The sequence below is a fragment of the Homo sapiens genome, chromosome 11 (genome assembly GCF_000001405.40).
Source record: "Homo sapiens chromosome 11, GRCh38.p14 Primary Assembly".
NCBI classification, from domain to species: Eukaryota; Metazoa; Chordata; class Mammalia; order Primates; family Hominidae; genus Homo; species Homo sapiens.
The window spans coordinates 19,181,696-19,203,442 of NC_000011.10; the positions used below are offsets into that span (position 1 = coordinate 19,181,696).

General features: G+C 43.5%; 1 protein-coding gene and 1 long non-coding RNA gene across 3 annotated transcripts in view; one reads left to right on the plus strand and one right to left on the minus strand.

The window, feature by feature from the left end:
* Nucleotides 335–20,288, minus strand: CSRP3 (cysteine and glycine rich protein 3). 2 transcript variants are annotated; one of them, NM_003476.5, is made up of 6 exons: nucleotides 20,259–20,288; nucleotides 10,642–10,781; nucleotides 6,441–6,609; nucleotides 4,521–4,653; nucleotides 3,257–3,350; nucleotides 335–1,051 (listed from the first exon to the last, which is right to left on the minus strand). In NM_003476.5, exons 2-6 carry the CDS (start codon nucleotides 10,751–10,753, stop codon nucleotides 975–977), a joined length of 585 nt encoding a protein of 194 aa, NP_003467.1. In that variant the 5' UTR covers nucleotides 10,754–10,781; nucleotides 20,259–20,288; the 3' UTR covers nucleotides 335–974. The 2 variants fall into 2 exon arrangements, with proteins under 2 accessions (NP_003467.1, NP_001356333.1); NM_001369404.1 differs by lacking the exon at nucleotides 6,441–6,609.
* Nucleotides 15,018–21,747, plus strand: part of CSRP3-AS1 (CSRP3 and E2F8 antisense RNA 1) — a 116,546-nt gene continuing 109,816 nt past the window's right edge. The window contains exon 1 of the long non-coding RNA NR_183675.1: nucleotides 15,018–15,224. This is a non-coding gene — a long non-coding RNA (CSRP3 and E2F8 antisense RNA 1). The remainder of the gene's footprint in view (nucleotides 15,225–21,747) is intronic.

The window sequence follows — 21,747 nt, forward strand, 5'->3', positions numbered from 1 at the left end:
ATGCTCATTTCAAAGAAAGCCTTTCCCAGGGGACTTGGAGGGTGGAGAAACCCATGGTTTAGCCAAGTATTTTATAGTTCTTATCACTAGATTTTCACTTGTTTCATGTATTCCAGATAATTCAGAATTGCACAGTGCTGGGGGAAGTGCTGTGGTTGTTAAAAGCAGAAGCCCAAGAAGTGCTTGAGCTGCTGAAACTTGCTGAAGAGGCAGAGAAAGACATTTCTAATTGGCTGCATTTCATTTGCAAGGCTGGCAAATTTGACGTAGAAGTCTTAAGAAAATTGCTAAACCCCAGGGAATTGTCCTAGAATAAAAGAAAATCATCCTCATGTCATTTATAATACAGAGGCAAATGCCACGCTTTATTGTCATTTCTGAGTTTTCACGAGATGTGTAACATTACAAAGCCCCACGATAGGACAAAGGGATCAACTCTTCAGCAATTTTATTAGTTTTGATTTTCCTTTTAGATTTTGCTATCATGTTCTCTATTTTCTCCCAGACCCCCTGTTTTCTTCTCCATTAGCAGTAACTAGAAAGACACTTGGCTGACAGATTCTGAAAGACTGCTTTCCTTTGCGCATTGTTTCTTCCTTCTCACTCCTTTCTCAGTTGACATCCAAATTTATTATATGCTCTGCAACTCGTTTTTTGAACTAGCTTTATGTTTTTGAAAATTTCTATCTCAAAGAAAAGATCTAGAGCCATACAAGATAGCACTAAAACATTTATTTATTGCCTCTCCCATTCCAAGCATTATAAATAATAAAGCATTTGTTATAGATTAAACTTTACATAATTTTCTTCCAAAGGCCTCTTCTAACATTCAGTAAAGACCTGATCACTTCTGAGGAGAAACACATAATGTACGACTACAAAGGAGAGGCTATTTGGGGAAAGGTATCGATCTGTGCAGGATTACTTGGCAAGTGTTTTAGGCTCGCAAAAAATCTGAGAAACGGCGCACCTCTTCATTCTTTCTTTTCCACTTGTTGTGTAAGGCCTCCAAACCCAATACCCGTGGGGCCAAAATTTTTGGCATAGCAAACTGTGAATGAGAAGAGGATGAAGGGAGAGACAATGCATTGGTTAGTGCCATTTTTTTCAGGGCTTTCTGTCTGAGCACAGTCCTTTTAATTATTAGAGACATCCTTTTGATAGATTTATGCATAAGTTCGCCAGGCACGGTGGCTCATGCCTGTAATCCCAGCACTTTGGGAGGCTGAGGCAGGCAGATCACCTGAGGTCGGGAGTTTGAGACCAGCCTGGCCAACATAGAGAAACCCTGTCTCTACTAAAAATACAAGAAATTAGCTGGGCATGGTGGCATGTACTTCTGATCCCAGCTACTGGGGAGGCTGAGGCAGGAGAATTGCTTGAGCCCGGGAGGCTGAAGTTGCAGTGAGCCAAGATCACACCACTGCACTCCAGCTTGGATGACAGAGCAAGACTCCGTCTCAAGAATAAAAATAATAAAAAGGTTTATGCATGAGCTAACTTTTTAAAATAAATTTAACAATACTTATCTTAGATCTGTTAATAAAAATTGTTTACACTTCTTGCCACTTTACTAAATGTGTTTGCAGATATTTTCTCATTTGAGGATTGCCTGCCCAACCTCGTCCCCTGTTGCCTCCCGCCTCTGCCTCCCTTCCTACATTCCAGGCACACAGAACCACTTGCAGTACCTGGAATGAACCATGATGTCCCAGCTTAAGTGTCTTTGTAATCAATGATCCCTCTTCCTGGAATGCCCCCTCCCAAACCCACATTCACCCATCAAGCCTCAGAGGAAGCCTGTCTTGTGAGAAGCTTTCCCCATTACCCCAAGCTGGTTCCTCTCCTCTTTTTAGGTGACTGCATTGTGAATGTTTCTCTACTATAGACTTTTTTTTTCACTTTGCAATGCAATTATTCATTTACATGTTAATTTCCCTACTGACTTCGGCAATATTTTAGGGCATTATGAGCTATGAAGGCTGAGGACCCCGTAGGTCTTCTACTGCCAGGAGACGGCAATCATCTGTCAGATAGTGAGCTAGTTCCCATCCTGTGTCATCACAGGAAAAGCTTTGGCAGCTGATATGGTTTGGCTGTATCCCCACCTAAATCTCATCTTGATTAGCTCACATAATCCCCACATGTTGTGGGAGGGACCCAGCGGGAGATAATTGAATCACTGGGCGTGCTGTTCTCGTGATAGTAAGCCTCACGAGATCTGATGGTTTTATAAAGGGCAGTTCTCCTGCACTTGCTCTCTTGCTTGCTGCTATGTAAGGTGTGACTTTGCTCCTCCTTTGACTTCTGCCATGATTGCGAGGCCTCCCCAGCCATGTGGAACTGTGAGTCCATTAAACCTCTTTTTCTTTATAAATTACCCAGTCTTGAGTATGTCTTTATTAGCAGCATGAGAACAGACTAATACAGCAAAGTACAGTTATGACTTATAAAGTCTTCTCTCTTAACTCCCTTTCCATTGCTCCTCTCACTTCATTCCAACATACTCCTTTGGAGATTCTTGAGACACCATCATTAAGTGATGAAACTCCACTGAGCAACAGAATAGGCCTAGGCTCAGGGGTGGAGGACGCATTGCCTTGGCCCTAGTGCATTCCTTCCTTTGATAGTGTCAAGAAGGAGCTAAGCCTCTACTATTTCTCCACAAGACCAAGGGATTATGGAGGCAGCGAGGGTCAGAGCTGCAAGGACCAGGAGGAAAACCAGATCTGTCCCTATGATCACTAAGTAACGTGCAACATCGACAACAGAACTGTTAGTGCGGGGTAGGCAGGAGGGAGATAGACATGTCATGATAAACTCCAGTGAGGCCAAACTGAGTTCACCCTCCTCCAGTCACCCCCTCTGCCACTCAGGTGAACAGATGGTGTTTCGATTTTTGGAAGGGGGTGTGGTGTTAGTTGTCCTGGCCTGAGGCCTCTTCCAAGACCAGAGGCAGGGCACTGTTTCCTCCTCTTCCCTTCCTCTCTCCCCCAGGTGCCTAACTTCCCGAACCACTGAGCATCTGAAAGCATCTGGTCTCTGCCAGGTGCTCCAGTGGAGAGGACCAGAGCTGGGTCAGGTGGGAGATTCCCTCCCCTTAGGTGGTTTTGCTCCTGAGAACCCAACGCTGCCCAGGCTGAGCAGCCATACCTCCTGGAAGACACGGGAAGACCTCCAGGCATGAACGTAATTTCCTCTCCCAAGGGCCCTTTTAGGGAAAACATATTTCAAGAAAGTCTCCAGAATCACTCACCTTTGCAATAAAGTTCCCCATCTTTGTCAGTGACATTTGTGGACTCCAGACTCTTCCCACAGATGGCACAGCGGAAACAGGTCTTGTGCCAAGGCTGAGGGGCACAGAAAAGTTGCATATTTAATGAGGTAGGCAACACATTCTGTTTCCATTTCAAGTCCCTGACCAGCAGCATCCAGAGGAGTGACACGTCTTAACCATTTGCTTACCTAATGGGCCCCATAATTTCTCCAGGGGTTTGGAGAAAATGAGATGCTATGGCCTTAGCCAGCACTTCTCAGAAGCCTGAAAATGGATTTGTCATGGTGATTTGCATATGTTTTCCTTCAGAATAGACTAAACGGGAAAGGGCTTCCCCAGGCCAAAAAGATCCAAGGAACAAACTGGTCAGAGAAGGACTTGGGCTGGGGGCACTGGGTGATGTTTATGTTGAGTATAAAGTTACAGAAGGAAAAAAAATAAAGAAATCAGGCAATTGTTCAGGGAATTCAACCTTGTTTTAACTCTCTGGTTTAATTCCTCTGTGTAATTCTGAGGCAGAGTTGCATAATTTCGATGTTCTAGATCTCCATCCTCCTGCACATCTGCGTGTCTACCAGGTACAGCCCAGGGCTTCTCCTATGTCTTCAAATGGCCAGTTTTAGGGTGGAGCCTGCCCTTGTGTTTGAAGTTAGATGCTCCCCACGGCCCTTCCTCCCACCATGTGGTATAAACATAATTTTTCTCTTTCCTCAGGTCTGACTCCTTTGGTGAGTACCCAGGCTTTGGGCCTGAAACTGGAACTTGCAGAGCACATATGCATGAGTGTCTCGGACATCTGATGACTTTCCTGAGAGCCAGGAAGTTCGTAAGTGAGGATGCTTCTCACTACTGTGAGGCGTCTGCTATATCCATTGGTCATGGTGGCAGCAACAGGTTGAGTTAGGCAGTGGTTGGTCTGGGGCTGACATCTTTTGGGGGGATTGTGGACACTGGAGGGTAGACGGGCTTTTGCTTTGTATCCCAGAACTTTCAGCTGGGTGCCTTCCATCTAGTAGAATAATGCTTGCTGCTTCAAACTGCACCAGTTCCAGCTTTCAAAGGGCAATGCTAGATGACAGACAGCCCCAGCCTGGGAAAGTGGCTGAGGATGTGTGGTTTCTAAAGTTGTTCTGGGAGCTAGAGAGAATGACAGCTGCTTGCAGCTCCCAATTTTTCTCTCATTCCTCCCAAATGGCCTGGTGGAGATGAGCAAATTCTGTCTGGCTCATACAGAAGGTCTTACCTTGCCACCTCCCATAACCTTCTCAGCAGCATAGACTGACTTGCCACATCGAGGGCACTTCTCGGACTCTCCAAACTTCGCAGTGAATTTGGAAGGGTTGCTGGTGGTAACTGAGCGTGCCGGCTTTGGGGACCTGTTGGAAATAGACGAATGAATGAAACGTAGATTTCCCTTGGCAAAGAGTAGAAGAGCTGTGTGGCCTTGAGAAAGTGACCTCACTTCCGTGTGTCTCAGACTCCTCATCTGGAAAATGGGGATAATGATGGTGTCTTTCTCATAGCGTTGTTGAGAGGGTTAAATGAGGCGACATTTGTAAAGCACTTAGAACAGTGCCCGCCTGGCATGTAGTAAGGGCTAATAAATGTTTGCTAAAATGGGTTTAGAGCTTTCCTTTTTGTTGTGAAGCACTTAGCAAATGTTCTAGTTATGTTAGCTTGTGTTATTGTTGTTGTTGTGTTGTTATTACTACTGTGCTTATTTGTGTTTTTCTGGACCATTTGCAAGGCCACTTCTTTCCTTTCTAAAGAGAGTTGTGAAAATTACAGAGCAAGGTGGGATTTTGACAATGGGTGCTAATCAGTTCCTGATGAACCACAGTCCATGAGCTGATGCATTCCTTATCACAAGCCAGGCTGTCGTCCTGCCTCCAAGGGTCACCTGTCCCAGGAGAACAATGTCCAAAATAGAGACATAATAATAGCCTCTCATGTGTTGGTATCTTTTGGTGTTTGCTTGTATATTATATCACTTGAGCTGTACCACAACCCTATAAGGTAGGCAGGGCTGGTTGGAGGAGAGTGAGGATCAGAGTGTGACTGCCCAAGGCCAGGCAGCTCATGAATGATGGACCTAGGAGGAAATCCTAGGTCTTCAGACCTTGTTACTCTTTGTGCAGCATCACTAGGAAGCCCTAATGTTGAAAAGTGAACTTCAGTCAATGTGAGGCAGAGAATGCAGTGGTATGTTTTCTTCCTTAACAAGAGTCTCCATTTGAGATTGAGTAATAAGACAAACTAACAAAAAGAAGTCTTCTCTCTAAGATGACTAATCACACATCTCTCCACGTTTCCATGCTCTCCTGTGGCTTACTCTCTTTTGAAGGGATCAGCTGATTCCTCAGATGGCTGAAGTGCTCTCTGGGGGAGGCCCTCCATGGGACACTTCCTTGGTTGGGCTGGGCCTTTCTGGCCAGTCGCAGTGCAGAGCTCAGCCTGGAGGCCAGCTGGCCAGAGAGTAGTGTCAGGCCAGTGGCCATCAGACTTTCCTCAATTCTGGGCTGGAGGTCAATGTGGTTATCAAGAAAGTGGACCCAGGGGACCAGACTGGTGGATGGAGGTGGCCAGAGTGATGTCCCAGCTTCCCTAGGATAATGTGGCGGGAACTCTAGCACTGTATTGGCAACAGGCAGCCAGGGAACCCCCAGAAAAATCATGATTGATTGTTTACTCTGAGGCACAGCCCATCCTTGCAGACACACTCCCCCTGCCATGTGGACGTTTGTCATCTTACAATCCAAGGGAAGAAATCTTTTCATGACAGGCACACAAAGAATGGCCATTGCTGCCCTGCCATATTTGTGTGATTTACACAGAAACTCTCAACGGGGAAGAAAGGAGACTCCATGCAGTTTTGCAAAGGTCAAACAATGGAACATCTGTACATCCTGGGTTTTCTCTTGACATGCAAACCAAGAGCCATGGTGTAAAAGTAATTGCCCTTTAGAATGGCAAATAATTTAAAGAGAGTCTTTGGAGAGATGACACATTGTTCAAACTTGGTCAGACTGAGTATTCCTATTGTTGGCAAGTCAACAATAGAGTCCATTCTCCCACTTCCAGAAAACGTTGCTATGGGAACGAAATGAACTGTCCTGATAATTGGAGACTTTAACAGGCAAGGGGGAGCAGGGCAGTAACTCACTGTTGGAACTGCAGGCCGAGATGCTCGCCCGTGTCTGTGCTGAGACAGCCAGCGCCTTGTCCATACCCGATCCCTTTGGGGCCATATCTGCGCCCATAGCACACCTTGCAGTAGATCTCCGACTCATGAGCCGCGACTGTCGTGCTGTCAAGAGCCTTCCTGCAGGCCACTGCCAGGAAAAGGAAGGGTCATGGGATTGGAATTGAAATCCTTCTCCCCTTCTTTGCACTCCCAATGCCATGCTCGGGGCCAGAGACCCAGCATGAGGGGCCCCTGAGCCAAGAATACAATGTTGATTCCTGACCAGAGTATCTGCCCTGAGTTGTGCACTCCAAGACAGTCCCGATCTCACAGATGACAAAATTGGGTTCAGTGGTTCCCAGCTGGAAAAGGGTGGAAGCTAGCATTAGAACGAGATATATAGTCTCAGACCTGCTAAGGACTGCATCCCTGAGTCTTCCCAAATGACATCAGGGAAGTGTGTGTGTGTGTGTGTGTGTGTGTGTGTGTGTGTGTTTGTGGGCGCGCGCGTTGGCAGGGGGTGGGTTAAGGCAGGAGAGAAACTTACTTTTTTCTTAATCATAAAAGAATCAGGATTGAGCACTTTCTGTACTTACCACAGCCTTTGAAGGACACTGTGATATTCAAGCAGACAATTGCCATTGAGGCTAATTTTGGTCAAATTCTGGAAGCAGAGGAGGTGGGGAAGGGGGTAGACCTGCCTTATTAACTCCTTAGGCTTCTATTGGCTCAAGCCCCCTGGTTACTGTATATTACCTAATGTAAAGTATCCTCCAGTATAAGGCAATCAAGCCCTCATTTTTCCAAAGAGAGGATTTATAGAAAGATTTATTTTGCAAATTTAAAAGGAAACTTTTAAAGATATAAATAAAAATGTCAAATATCTACTTATAATTTTAATTTAGTAATATAAATCAACAATATATTGATTTGGAAAGGTTACTTTTTTCTAATCCCACATAAATTTGGGGAATAATTATCTCCAATTCTGTCTTTGCATCTTCAACATCGGCATCTCCCTCACCACCAGAATCATTTCTGGGGGCAGCTGGCCCAGCTTTTCTGAGCAGCTCACTTTCACTTCTATCTGTACGTTTAAAGAGGCAGCCCTGTTTTATACCTGAGTAGGAGGTTGTCACCTAGAAATTGCATCTCAACAAGAAGGACCTATTAGCATAGCATTAGGGCAGATTTTTTAAAAGATATAGAATTTCCACCATGTAATGACTTGCTACATTGCTTTGCAACAATGATTCTTAAAGGTTGTTTATAGTGATGCTCAGTGCTTATAATAGGGAGATAATATCCCCAGGAATAATAATATGTGTGCATTAAATGTATTTGCCTTTTAAAAAAACATTTCCATCAAATGATCCCTATAAGCAATCCAGCATTGAATGAGGTTATTTCAGGCTAATATGCCTTCTTCAAATGATATTATCTTTTTTAAAAGATAAAGTAATTGAATATGGGAGTGGAGGAAGAAGATAAGGTTGTAGATGAGGTAGGATTAGCCAGGGGCTGATGAGTGTGGGGCAAGGGAGTTTATTCTGGGACTTTATTTGACTATTCTGTCAACATTGTATGTGTTAAAAAATATCTGTACCAAAAAAAAGTTTAAATCAGTAAATAAAATAATTGGAAGAATGTCTTACAGCAGGAGAGACTTTATAAGGCTTTAAACACAAGGCATATCTTTTTTATGAAGATGAATTTGGGGGGAGAATGCCTTATATTGAGACATAGAAGGTGTGTACACTTGTCTCTACCCTTCTTGTTACTGTCAGTTACCAACCTCCACAACAACTGCTTGCATATTTGCTGATGGTCTAGACTCTGAGTTCCTTGAGGGCAAGCCTGTTTTGTCTTAATATTCCGAGAATTTAGCACAAGGCCTGGGCCAGAATTAGTCCTCTGTAAACATTTATTGAGTACATGAATGAATGAATGAATGAATGTGTCAATGTAAATCAGTGAGTTGTTCACAATTATACAATAGTAAGTTGCAGAGCCACGGCTTACCTCAGCTCTTTTGACTCCTAGTCCAGTGCTCATTCCCATCACTCCAAGACTGCCTATACCCTAAGGTGCCCTGGCCAATTCTGTAGCCACTCCCTGGCTTCTGATGAGCTTTTGTGAACAGACAAAGGAGAACTGTGCTGTCCAGTGCTGTGGCCACAGCCACATGCTGTGCTGTAAGCACAAAATGCACATCAGATTTCAAACACTCAGTACAAACGCAAAAATCATGTAAAATATCCCACTGATCATTTGTATATTGAAGTATACATTGAAATTATAATGTTTTGGATATATTGAGTTAAATAAAATGTTTTAAGATTAATTTCATCTGTTTATTTGTACCATTTTTAAACTATGGTTACTAGAACATTTAAATTTACATATGTTGCTGCATTATATTTATTTCTTTTGGACAGCAAACTTACTTTCTAGATTTCATGATTAGTCTAGAGATTTAATTGTGAAGATTTATCTAGAAGTCAGGGGAACACTGGCCTGGGCACAATGTAAGGTAGACCCTGCGTCTCTGAACGCCTTTTCCAGCAGCTACAGAGTTGCCTGCGGACAGACAGGTGATTATCTTGTGGTAATAATATAGAAAAGTGTGCTCCTCTCTGGGGCTCTTCTACCCATCGTTCCTGAAATGTATGCTGCTCAAATCCTCATCCCATCAAAGGGTTCTCAGGAAATATCAAAGGGTTAAAAGGGATGTACCAAAAAATGCTCAAATCTCTTCTACTATAACTCCTTTGAACAGGGCATCTTCCTCCTACCTGGGAAAGACAAGACACCCTCTACTAAGGAAAGCTTCCCTACAATTTCCTGTTCCCACGCAGTTACCAAAGTTGATCAAAGGAGAATACAGGCCTAGAAGGCTGGATTTCCATATCAAGACCCCCCAGTTTTCTCCTTGTAACAACCTGTGCAGTAGGTATAATCATCTTTGTTTTATAAGTGGAGAAATTGAGGTTCACCATGGTGAAATGACCTGCCCAAAATCTCAGTGAGTACATGGCAGAGCCCAGACTCAAACCCGAATCCCTTTTACTCTAATTCTAGAATTCTTTCTAATATTCCTAATCCTGTTTTTTAAAGAATGCTAGCTCTCTTTGGACAAAAGCCCCAACAGATGGAGTCCAGCCCTTGGAGTTCTTTTCAATTGCATGGATGCCTTGCAGCTACCGGGCTGAAGCATGGGGGTGCTGGCATGGCTGTGGGGACTAGTCGGGGAGGGGGCTCGCCAAATATCCAGCAGAGCTAGCCCTTAAGCCAGACCTCCTGGACAGAAGCAGAGAAGATAAGTGGCCATTTTAAAACCAAGGCCAATTTTCTCCCAAACAGGACTAGCTGCCAGGAAACAGTATAGAATGCAGTCATGTCAAAGAGCACTGGACATGGAGTCTAAAGGTAGAGGTTCATGTATAAGACTCTATCGCAGATGCACATGACCCGGGCTTAGATGTGAGAAATGACTTATCGAAAGTCACGTGAGTCAGGCAGGACCAGACTCACAAGGTCTCAAGGTTCTCAAGGTTCTCAAGGTTCAAGCCACAAGGTCTCAAGGTTCTCCCTATTTTTGACATGTGTGAGTCAGTGTCTGGCGGGTAATGGTCAGGATTTCTTTCATGCAGTTACTGGTGCCCAGGCCCTGAAATGCTTCCCTCTCTGACTCTTACATACAGAGTTGGCATGTGTTGCCCCCCTGCCTGACATAGGTTCTCTCTCAGACAAGACCAGTCACAGCTGGCTTCAGTCACAGCTGACCAGAAGGGGCAACATAGACAGCCAAATCCATCCTGGCTTCAGATAAGTGCTGGCTTCCTTTCTCTGCCAAGTCACATGTTGTCAATGTCGCCATGGGGTCAAAGTTTTCCCTACAGAGAGCAGTGACAGGCTAGCTTGTTCTGACGTTGAGCTACAGGAAAATGAATGGCCTCTGAGCTGGGCAAGCAGTTGAAGCAAGGGTATTCAGGAGAGCACCATCTTTTCTTGGTGGAGCCCAAGAGTTAAATTTCTAACCAGTTCCCAGGTAATGCTGATGCTGCTTGTCCCAGGACCACACTATGAGAACCACTGGCATACAGTGTTTGTGATTCAATGTGAATTTTGTGATGCTGTCCGGATGCTGAGGGGCCCCCAGGGTGTCCACCCAACTCACTGCAGTGGAAACACGTCTTGTGGAAACTCCTTCCATTGCACTGGATTTCTTCTGCATGGTAGACGGTCTTTTCACAGGCTCCACATTTTGCGCCTCCGCCCCAGTTTGGCATCTTGAAGACTATCTGGTCAAGGTCAAGTCTAAGGGGACATAAAGCAAATACCCTACATTGAAGTGGCCCCAGGAGTGAACCAATCTCTAAGAGTGCAGTGGTCTGAAGACCAGGATCCAGCCCAATTTTTTTTTAGTGTTTCATTTATTCATTCATTTAGCAAACAGCTACTGTGTGCTAGTCATTAAATAAGCTCAGACACTTAGATGGCTTTGGGTAATCACTTTACCACTTGGGAACTCAGTTTCTTCTCCTGTTAAATTTCAGTAACATCTATTCCTATGTATCTCACAGGGCTCCCGGAAGGAATGAATAGGCTAATTTCATGTACATAAAAGTATATACAAAGATCGTTTTTTTTTTCATCTCAAGTTTAAAAAATTATCCCATCAGAACTGGGAATCATCTGTGAAGATGGTATTTTCTTCTTGTCTAGCTAAGAGCTTCTCAAATCACCTTAGACCTTGCTAAATGCAGATTCTGGTTTGGTAGATCTGGGGAGAGGCAGGAAATTCTGCATTTCTAACAGACTCCAGGCAATATTGATGCTGCTGGCAGTGGACTACATTTTGGGTAGCAAAATCTTAGCTTATCTTGCTGATAGAAAAGCATATTAATAATATATAAAATCTCCTATTCCAAGTTATTCCTCATATCCATACATTCCTTTTTAAGAATATAATCACCTAGGCTATAAGATATATTGGCACTACACTAGGTCAGTAGTTGGAAACTTGCTTTCTGCTTTCAGGGCTACCCTCTACCTGCTGTTCATATCAGGATGAACTACATAGCTTAACTTTATACCTGTTTTCCCACCTATACAGTTATTCTTTTCCCTGCTGCTTTAGTGTCCTTTAGAAAATCAAACGACATGATGTGCAGGAAGGTCCCACAGAGTTCACAGTGCTCAACAGGAGCCAGACCATGGTGCTGACATGTCCTCCTGCACCATTGGAGACATTCAGCTACAAGGAGCTGCTAATAGCCACAGCCCCAGGACTGTCATTGTCTCCTCACCACAGGATTACATTTAAGAGATATTAACCAAAGAAAATTATTTAAAAAAATAATTGTCCTCTGTATTTTTAGTAGAGACGGGGTTTCACCATGTTGGCCAGGCTGGTCTCAAACTCCTGACCTCAAGTGATCTGCCCGCCTTGGCCTTCCAAAGTGCTGGAATTACAGGCTTGAGCCACCGTGCCCGGCCTAAACAAAAATTAGCCAGGTGTGGTGGTGGGCACCTGTAATCCCAGCTGCTTGAGAGGCTGAGGAAAGAGAATCACTTGAACCCAGGAGGCGGAGGTTGCAGGGAACCAAGATTGTACCACTGCACTCCAGCCTGGGCAACAGAGCGAGACTCCGTCTCAAAAAATAAATAAATAAATAAAATAGTAATAATAATTGTCCTCATCTGCATATGTTTTTAGTATGAATCCAAGTTTTCAGTTTCCTCAAAGCAGAACTAAAATAAGCCATTGATGTTAAATGAAACTTCTGAAATTCAGCTGCCCAGGGGAGCTGCATTTTCACTGGGATCCTCTGGTTTCTAAGAAGCCTAGTGTGTCATGACATGGAGCACTATCCAGCCATTCTGAGTGGCTGCTTGTGACCTTCACTTTCCCTTCTGGGAAGCCAGTCACCTTCTTATAATAGTTGGCGATTAACACTAAGCCCTCCTGGGTCAACTGGTCCGGATTGTATCTCACAGTCTCATAACAAAGGCAGTTTTTTGCTAAGAAACAGAAAGTAAATAGCAAACAGACCACTGAACCTGATACTAGGTCTAGAAGGAATGTTTCTATCTAAATATTCCCCCAAAGAGCTTTTCCTGCTTAGAAAAACTGTGAGGTTAGCCAGGAACATCCTATCCTTCCTCTCACAGAAGTAGGATCTTCTGCTAATTCAGTAAAATTTTAGAAAAGAACTTTAAAAAAGGAAACATTGGGCTGGGCATGGTGGCTCACACTTACAATCCCAGGACTTTGGGAGGCCAAGGCAGGAGGATCACTAGCCCAGGAGTTTGAGACCAGCCTGGGCAACATAGTGAGGCCCCTGTCTCTACCCCACCCCCCAAAAAATTACCCTGGTGTGGTGGCATGCTCCTGTAGTCAGTCCTAGCTACTCAGCAGGTTGAGGCAGGAGAATCACTTGAACTCAGGAGTTCTAGGCTTCAATGAGCTATGATCACACCACTCTACTTCAGCCTAAGTGACAGAGTGAGGCCCTGCCTCTAAAATAAATAAATAAGAATTTCTTAAAAAATGGAAGCATGTGGTTTTTCTATTTCTGTAGTTCGGGTTGTTTAGGAAACTAGAAAGAGTAATGGATTTTGAGTTGAAAGACTTAGAATTAAAACTCACATTCATTCGTTCATTCATTCATTCACCCTGCATTTACTACCTGCCTATCATGTGTCAAGTACTGCACTAAGTACTCAGTGACAAAAGGGGGAAAACTTATAAAAATGAGTAGTTTGTGACCCCTGGCATTGAGAAGCCCATGTTGTAGTGAGAAAAATAGACAAGATTCAGAATGCTCTGTACCAGAGAAGAGTCTTGTGAGACATGCTACAGAAACTCAAATGACGGACTGGCTCCCCACATTTAGTCTGGGGATAAAGGCAGTGAACTGTTGGAGGGTCACAGAAGAGATCACATTCAAATGGGGGTTTGAAGGGTGAATAGGAGTTCACCAGATACAGAAAAGTGGGAAGGAATAATGCTAATGAAGTCATGCAGAGAAAAGAGCAAGCAGAAAGGCGTAGAGGCCTAAATAGCCTCTAAAATAGCCCAAATTTGTTTATTTTGGACTCCATTTAAACTACAGACTTTCAGGGCTGGAATAGATTTTTAAGATTGCTGGACCCTCTCATTTATAACCAAGGTGTATTTAAAAGTAAGCATTTAGGGATATTTTTCTTAGCCAACTTCTTTTTATACAATCCATTCTTCTCTCATTAAAGATGTTACATTTTCTAGAAAAGAATAGACTCACATAATTTTGCTCATGTTCATTTTGATCCTGAGTTTCAGCATGATACAAAATAGAGGAGAAATATAATAAATTTCCTCCAGGAACATGGCAGCGACACTTGTAAAATTAATGATATAGAAATTTTCAATGAAAACAACCTTAGGTCAAATTTCTCATTTCAGATTTGCAGTGGAGATTTCATTGGCATGTCTTGCAAGTTAATAGGAGACAGAGATACCTCTTGGGGGATAAAAATACATATATATCTGTGTGTGTGTGTGTGTGTGTGGATTCATTGCCTAGGCATACTTTTCAAAATGAGAATAGGATTACAGATAATACCTCCTTCACAAACTAATGTATCCTAGCACTGGTTGTTTTTAAGCGATCATAAATATCTGACATATATCATCAGGACTTGAAATTTAAAATATAAATCTGTAAGTACTCTATTAATGATGCTCAGTTCCATTTCTGAAGATGGGAATGTAACCATGGAGGCTAAACAGAAGATGTCTCACAGGCCAAAAGGTAGAGGATATTTTAAAGCATCCTGAATCCAGGCCAGGCATGGTGGCTCACGCCTGTAATCCCAGGACTGAGGCCGAGGCGAATGGATCATGAGGTCAAGAGATCAAGAACATCCTGGCCAGCATGGTGAAACCCCATCTCTACTAAAAATACAAAAATCAGCTGGGCGTGGTGGCATGCACCTGTAGTCCCAGCTACTCAGGAGACTGAGGCAGGAGAATCACTTGAACCCAGGAGGTGGAAGTTGCAGTGAGCTGAGATTGCGCCACTGCACTCCAGCCTGGCGACAGAGTGAGACTCCATCTGAAAAAATAAGTAAATAAATAAATAAAAAGGCATTCGGAATCCAGAGACATGGATTCTAATCTCGACCTTGAACTCGGGTAAAAAATGTTGATAATAGTATCTCCTGGGCAGGACCATTGTGAAGGTCATGGAAATATGATGGAATTTAAAGCAGTATTGAGAAATTATTTTTTCCCACTTCACTTTAGGTTACTCAAATGGCACCAATGTGCTAATTAAGGAGCTATGATTTGAAATCCCAGTTAGGTCCTGGCTTATGAACATAACCTTTTCAGCTTCCCGCATTGCTTTGGAATTCTTGTGTCCCAACACTCCCCTAGACACTCCCAGAATGTGAGCTTACCCTGGCAAGGTACCAAGGGATGGGCCATTTGTTTATCAGCGTTGCCTGGTACTGGCAAGGGTCATTGAAGGTGGGATACAATTATAGGCTTGCCCGTCACTCGGCCCTGTTTGTAACCTGGGTCACAATCTCCATCATACCACCTGGCACGACTCTCTGGGCCAGTCCCTGAGATGACTATGTTGTCAAAGACAAATCGTGGGTCAAGATTGAAATGGGGGACAGTCTGGAATTTACGAGGATGAGATAGAATGGACAGCCCTGTGACATCAACTTGGAAGAGGTTGGACTCCAGATTTGGATACTCAGATCCCGGTGAGAGACTACCTTGTGCCCACTTTTAAACTAAGATGTAACTAATACCATAGAAGAGATTATACTAGGAATGTGCTTCAGTGGGGCAGTGGGAAAAACACTGGATCAGGTGCCAGAGGCTGGAGTTCTAGTTCCATTTTGCCTCTTCGAAGCTGTGTGATCTGGGAAAACCGTTCAATCTCTCTGAACTTCAGTGTCTTCACTAGAATGAGGGCAATAATCCTTTTGATTTCACTATTGCTGAGAGGACCCTATTAGTTCAAGTACTGTCATATCATTCTGTAAATTGTAGAGTAATATAAAATGTGAGAACCAATTAGGTTCTCCCACAATTTTAAGTTGTTATTCATCAATCTGAATTTTCAAAAGAATAACTAAACTGTGTATTTTGGGCACATTCTTCCTAATCCAACTATTTCTCCCTCCCTCCCTCCCTCCCTCCCTCCCTCCCTCCCTCCCTCCCTCCCTCCCTTCCTTCCTTCCTTCCTTCCTTCCTTCCTTCCTTCCTTCCCTCCTTCTTTCCATCCTTTTTCCTTTCCTTCCCTCCCTTCCTCTCTCCATCTCTTTCTCTCCCTCTTTTCCTCTTTCTTTCTTTCTTTCTTTCTTTCTTTCTTTCTTTCTTTCTTTCTTTCTTTCTTTCTTTCTTTCTTTCTTTCTTCTTTCACTACCAACTATAAAGCTGAGCAATGATGAGTTAGGGCAAAAGTGGTGGGTACATAAAATGAGCACCCAGGAGGGAACTTTAGGCCATGACTTTGGGCAGAGACCTCAAGCCACAGTGCCACAATGCCACCGTTTTCAGCTCAGTGCTAGCTCAGTTGGTCATCCTACTAGATGCCTGATTTCCTGCAGTGAGTTCAATTGTCTACACTGGCTGAAGCAAAGATTTTGGATCATAGGAACATATATATATATATATATGGAATCTAAGCGATAGTAATAGTCATTTCTAACTTTATTATTGAAGTTAACATGCCTGGAGCACTGCCCTTGGGTATCGTTTAATCTTCACAACAACCCTTCAAGGTAGGTGCTATTATAACATTTACTTTACAGATGAGGAAATGGAGGCTTTGGGAAATTACATTAGTCCAAGTTCATGGGACTGATATGTGTCACATGAATAGATTGGAACTTACGTTTCTCTGACTCCAAAGCTTTACATATATTATTTTATGTCAGTTGCTTTACATATATTATTTTTTAATACTTACAACAGCTGCCCAGAGCAAATTTTATTTCCATTTTTATGGATAAGAGAACTGAAGAGCTTAAGTAGCTTTTCCAAGGTCACACAGCTAGTAATTGGAAGAGCTGCCATTTAACCCCCCGTTAAGCTGGTTCTGTATCTCATGCTCCTGTTTATAACACTGGAGAGAGGACAAGGGTCAGCACCTCCATCACCCAGACTTCCCAGTTGATGGGAATTGAGACGTGACCAATCCATTGTCTCTCCATGGGACACAGAGGGTATTCAAGGGTGGGACTAACAGGGAAACTGAATTCATTCACTGAAATCAATGACTTTCTGAGTTACGGCTGTTCAACATGGAAAGGGCTTCCTTGGAACTGGAGATTTCTTCTGCACTATTGATTTTCAGCTGAGGTGGGGACGGATGTCCAAGTGGCTGCTATACAGTGAAGTCCCTTCAAGGGTCCTTTAAGCCCTGAGACAGATTTAAGGATCTGAAAAGTGATTGAAACCTCACTTTGCAGAAAAGCTGCCCAATGGGGTGCCCTCTCAAACCCTCTCCTTTATTCACTCTTAATTTGGGTAAGAAAGATGACATAGCCACAGTGAAAACCATGGGCTTTGGAAGAACCAAGCTTAAGTTCAGAAACACTAACTGTTGAACACTGGGCAAGTTGCTCAAATTCTCTGACCCAGTGTCCTCAATGCATGTCCTCATGTAAAGACAATATGAGAAGGCTTGTCTGGGAAGGTTGTTTTCAGGTTAAAGAAGATAATAATAGCTAAGACACCATATAGAATTACTTAATACATAGCAGGAATTGAATAATTGTAGTTACTTGCATCATGACTATTATTGTTGTTATTACATTATCTCCAGTTTTCAAGTCTGTTCTTTTAGAACAAACAACTCACTCCCTGCTTGTTTTCCATGGCCCTTCTGGTTCAGACTGTGAATCAGCTTTGTTTTTCAGCCTTTGGAGTGTGCGGTGCCCCAGGACAGGTGTGCCCAGGTCGGGGTGAGAGTCGGTCCCCTTGCGTTGTTGGATTGGGTTGGAGGCAGCATGCCTAGCCAGGGGCCCTGTAGTCTGGGGAGCTCATGCCCTTCAGTTCTCGGTGTAGGACATTCAAGGTCAGTGGCTGCTTCCTCCTGAGCTTCTGAACCCAGATATATGACGTCCTCCGGCCAGAGGCCCTTTCACAGAGCCCAGGAAGAACAGGTTGCTCATTGCCAGCATGGAAATAAACCTGAGTGTTGGCTCTCAGCCCCTTTTAAACTCAGACATGGTAGACATACATTAAATGAAGGCTGTAGAACATGGGCATCTTACACCTTTTGTGAAATTATATCTGAAGCGTGGCCAGCTTTTACTTCCCAAAACTCACTCTTTGTTCTATTTTGACCTCTACAATTTATTTCTAAAGACCACATCATATCCCAGTTTACCTCCTGGCTCTGCCGCTTTCTCAGCCATGTGATGCTGGGCAATTCCTAAGCTTTCTAGAACTTTAGTTTCTTCCTCTGAAAAATGAGTTTTGCATAACTTTTTGTGACCCTTAAATAAGCTAGTACTCGTTCCATGCCTGCCTAGGCCATAAACGACCATCAAATCATGATCAACCCTTTCCCACAGTAAAGCTCAGAAAAGGCTCCATCCTCAATGCCCTTTAAGACCATTACTGTCTCCCTTCCTGCCATTCTTCACTGGGATGAATAACTGCAGTTTTTCACATTTGCAGGCATCACATTTCTCTTTGTGCATGAAGCCCAACCCTCTATACAGTATTTATTCACAGATATCTGAACAGCACACTTGTAACTGGAAATCTGTCTGCCTCAAGACTTGTATTTCCTGTGTGTTATATTCCTAGCCCTGGGTCTTTCCTCTTGTAAAACAAATTAATTATCTTCTAACTCCTGGTCAGCTTCTTACCCACTCTGACCTCTGGACTTTTATCAGCACGCTTGTACTTAGCAGGAAACCCCCCCAAAACCCACTGGGTTTGGCTGTATGCCTTTTCTCAACGTTCTCACATATTTGTACGGTTATATTAAACTTTACAAAAGTACTTTCCTATACTTTATCTCATTCAATTCTCACAAGTCCCTTTGATAGAGGTAGGCTACCCTTAGTTTTATTGTTCAGAAAATGGAAACTCAGATAAGTTAAGTGATATTCAGAGCTATAATTTGAACGGGCTCTATAACTGATTATCTTTATTTTCTTCTTGAATATCCCAGGATTTCTGAGTTTCTATTCTATCAAGATTCTGTCTCCACTTCCTCCAAGGGAATTTTGGCTATTTGCTGGCTGAATGCTGCTGCAGCTCCCTCTTCCTTCATTCCTCTCTTCCTCCCTTCCTCCCTCCCTCCTTCTCTCTTTCCTTCCCCCCTTCTCTCCTTCGAAGGAGGAGGCCCCTTGCCCTGTGTCTCCTGTTTCTGATGGATGACACGTGTGTCTGGGCTGCAGAGCACCTGTCTGCCTGAACCCCAGGGAGGACACAAAGCCCTGGGGCTCAGCTACACCTCCTGCCCAATAGCCTGGGCTCATTGCCACTGACCACAAACGACTGAGTTGTTCAGAAAGGGAACAAAGCCAAGTCATAAGACTCCCTCACATTTTCTGGATCATAAAGCAGTTCTACATGCATTGTGATGAATTGTATGTACCCAGCATTGAGATTTAATCCCAGATGTAAACTGAGGACACAGGCCATCCCCAATTTCCCACTCTTCGTGCTGTTCACTTATACCCTTCCCTGCATAGAGCTGCCTCTACCTCCCTCCAGCCCTGACATAGGAGATGGTCCATACATGCTTATTAAATTACATTGAATCGTATTGCAGAGACAAGGTTCCTCAGACCAGTAACTCAACTCCTCCTTCTTGGAGGAGTCACCACCTTGGCTCAGGAACAGGGCAGAAATTAGAGTCGGCAGCTTGGATCTTTCAGCAGCATTTCCACTCAGACCATTGCTTAAAACCTCTTCTTATTCTCAATCACACCTATGTCTGTCATTCACTGGGATATTTTAAAAAGTCCTTGACTAAAACCTAGAGGAAACAGTGGGAATCCTAACCACTGGATAAATTATCCTCCCATTTAATAGAGCTTTTAATATATTTCAACATAGCAATGTCTTTTTGGGGTCCAGTTTTGATTAATTTCAAAAGATTAAAAGCAAACTTGTTGCTGAATATCTTTGGGATACAAAAGTCTATTTAAAATCAACAAGCCCAAAATCTCAGTCATTCACCACGACCTTTTGAATAACACCATTCCAGGTAAATTGAGCATGGGAAAGCTGTCTTATATATTGCATCTAGTACAATCGCTTATCGCTTTGTATCTGTGCAGTACTTTACAGTTTGGAAAAAATGTCGCCAATTTGTATTGATCCTTGCAGAAGAGGAGACCAAGCCCCTGAGGGCAGGAACCTTCTCAAAGTCTGTCATCCATGAATTATATGGTGGTTGTAAGACGAGAAGGTCAGCAGACTTTCCATTATTTCCTCCCGCTTTCCAGTTGTTCCAACTAAGATGACAGGAAATGTAATTCCACCACGTAAGTAGTTTTATAATGAGGATAATTCTTTACTCATTTATCTGCCTATGAGGTCCCTTAAGCCCCCTAAATATTAACCATCCTTGCAGGAATTTTTTAATACCTGCTAGATCCACACCAGAGTCAAGTACAACTTGAGCCTCCTTGCACAGAACCAGAGAGGGTGCTGGCACTTGAGACGTAAAATGTGCTCTTACTCTATGGGACCCTTTATAGTCCAAACCAGCCACAGAACCAACCCACCTCCAGCTCAAATGTCTGCCTTGCTCCACTCACCTGCCTGTGTGGACTCCGTTCAGCTCAACTGAGTCTGAGGGGCTCTTGTCCTCTTTAAATATATGAAGGCTGTCACCAGCCTTGGCCTGCTGGGGGAAGGGCAGGAGGGAGGCCAAGGGAGAGGGTGAATGAGACGTGAGTAACACAACTGCTATCAGGGGCTGAAAATAGACTGTGACCAAAGCCCTGAGTTTTGTCTCCCCCAACCCCCCAGCCAGCTGTGAGCCTCTTGGAGAACCGAATCACTTGGGTTCTATTTGCACTGCCAATTGCTTATGGCACCAAGGGATCAATTTATGAAGTGTGTCATTTCTGATCAAGTGGTTGGAACAGGAACAAGAGCTAAGGGTTTAACATCAAAAATCATTTCTCCAGGCCCCCACCCCACTGACCTTCCTGGAAATCATTGCAGGGTACCTGCAAATGAGTCATGTGCCATATCTGGGAGCCTCTGGAACTTAGAGCCACAGGTCACCACACTCGTGAAGAGAACTCAGAGCTAAAAATAAGGGTGATGGGTGTCTGAAACGATACTTAGATAATCTCTTCAAAGAAGCTTGGGAGAAAAAAGGTTGGCACATCACTTGGGACCTGTCACTCCATCTATCCTAGGAAACGAAGTTTTCTCTAAAAAGTTTTGATTTACTTTGTTATTATCCTTTTCTATTTAAGAATTTGATACAGCAGTGCATATTTATCATCATCACATTATATTTATAACATCTTGATATGTCTCTGTAGACCCATATTTTCTTTGGAGGTCTAATTTTTCTTTGTCTGGAATTCACACCGTTTAAATTTGATCAAGCACCAGGGACTGATATAAATTATGGCATTGAAAAGCTGACAAGAGGTTCAGAGATGTGAAGACCAATTCTTCATGTTATAGATGAGGAAACTGAGGCACCAAGCCCCTTCCACTCATGTTGACCCGGATGTTGAGGTAAGGTACATGTAGAACCCAACCGGGAGGTTCATGATCCAGCCTTCACATCAGATATTAGCCCTTTGGTTACCTGCCCACAAAGCAATTGTTGAAGGATAGAATATTTCACTGTCAAGAAGGTTGCAGTAATTTCACAAAGACGGCCGTGGCATAGCCTCCTATGAGATATCCGTGGTCTGTGTTTTCACTAAATGGCATCTTCATCATAAAGACGAGGCAATCACGAGGATTTTAGAAAGTTAAAGCTAGAAAGGACTTTAGAAATCGTCTAGGATAGTGGCTTTTGTTTGTTTGTTTGTTTGTTTGTTTAGAGAAATGGTCCCGTTCTGTTGCCTAAGCTGGAGTACAGTGGCATGATCACAGCTCACTGCAGCCTCGATCTTTTGGGCTCAAGCAATCCTCCTGTCTCAGCCTCCTGAGTAGCTGGGACTATAGGCGCACACCAGCACGCCTGGCTAATTTTTTTGTAGGGATGTGGTTTCACCATTTTGCCTAGGCTGGTCTCAAACTTTGGGGTCAAGTGATCTGCCCACCTCGGCCTCT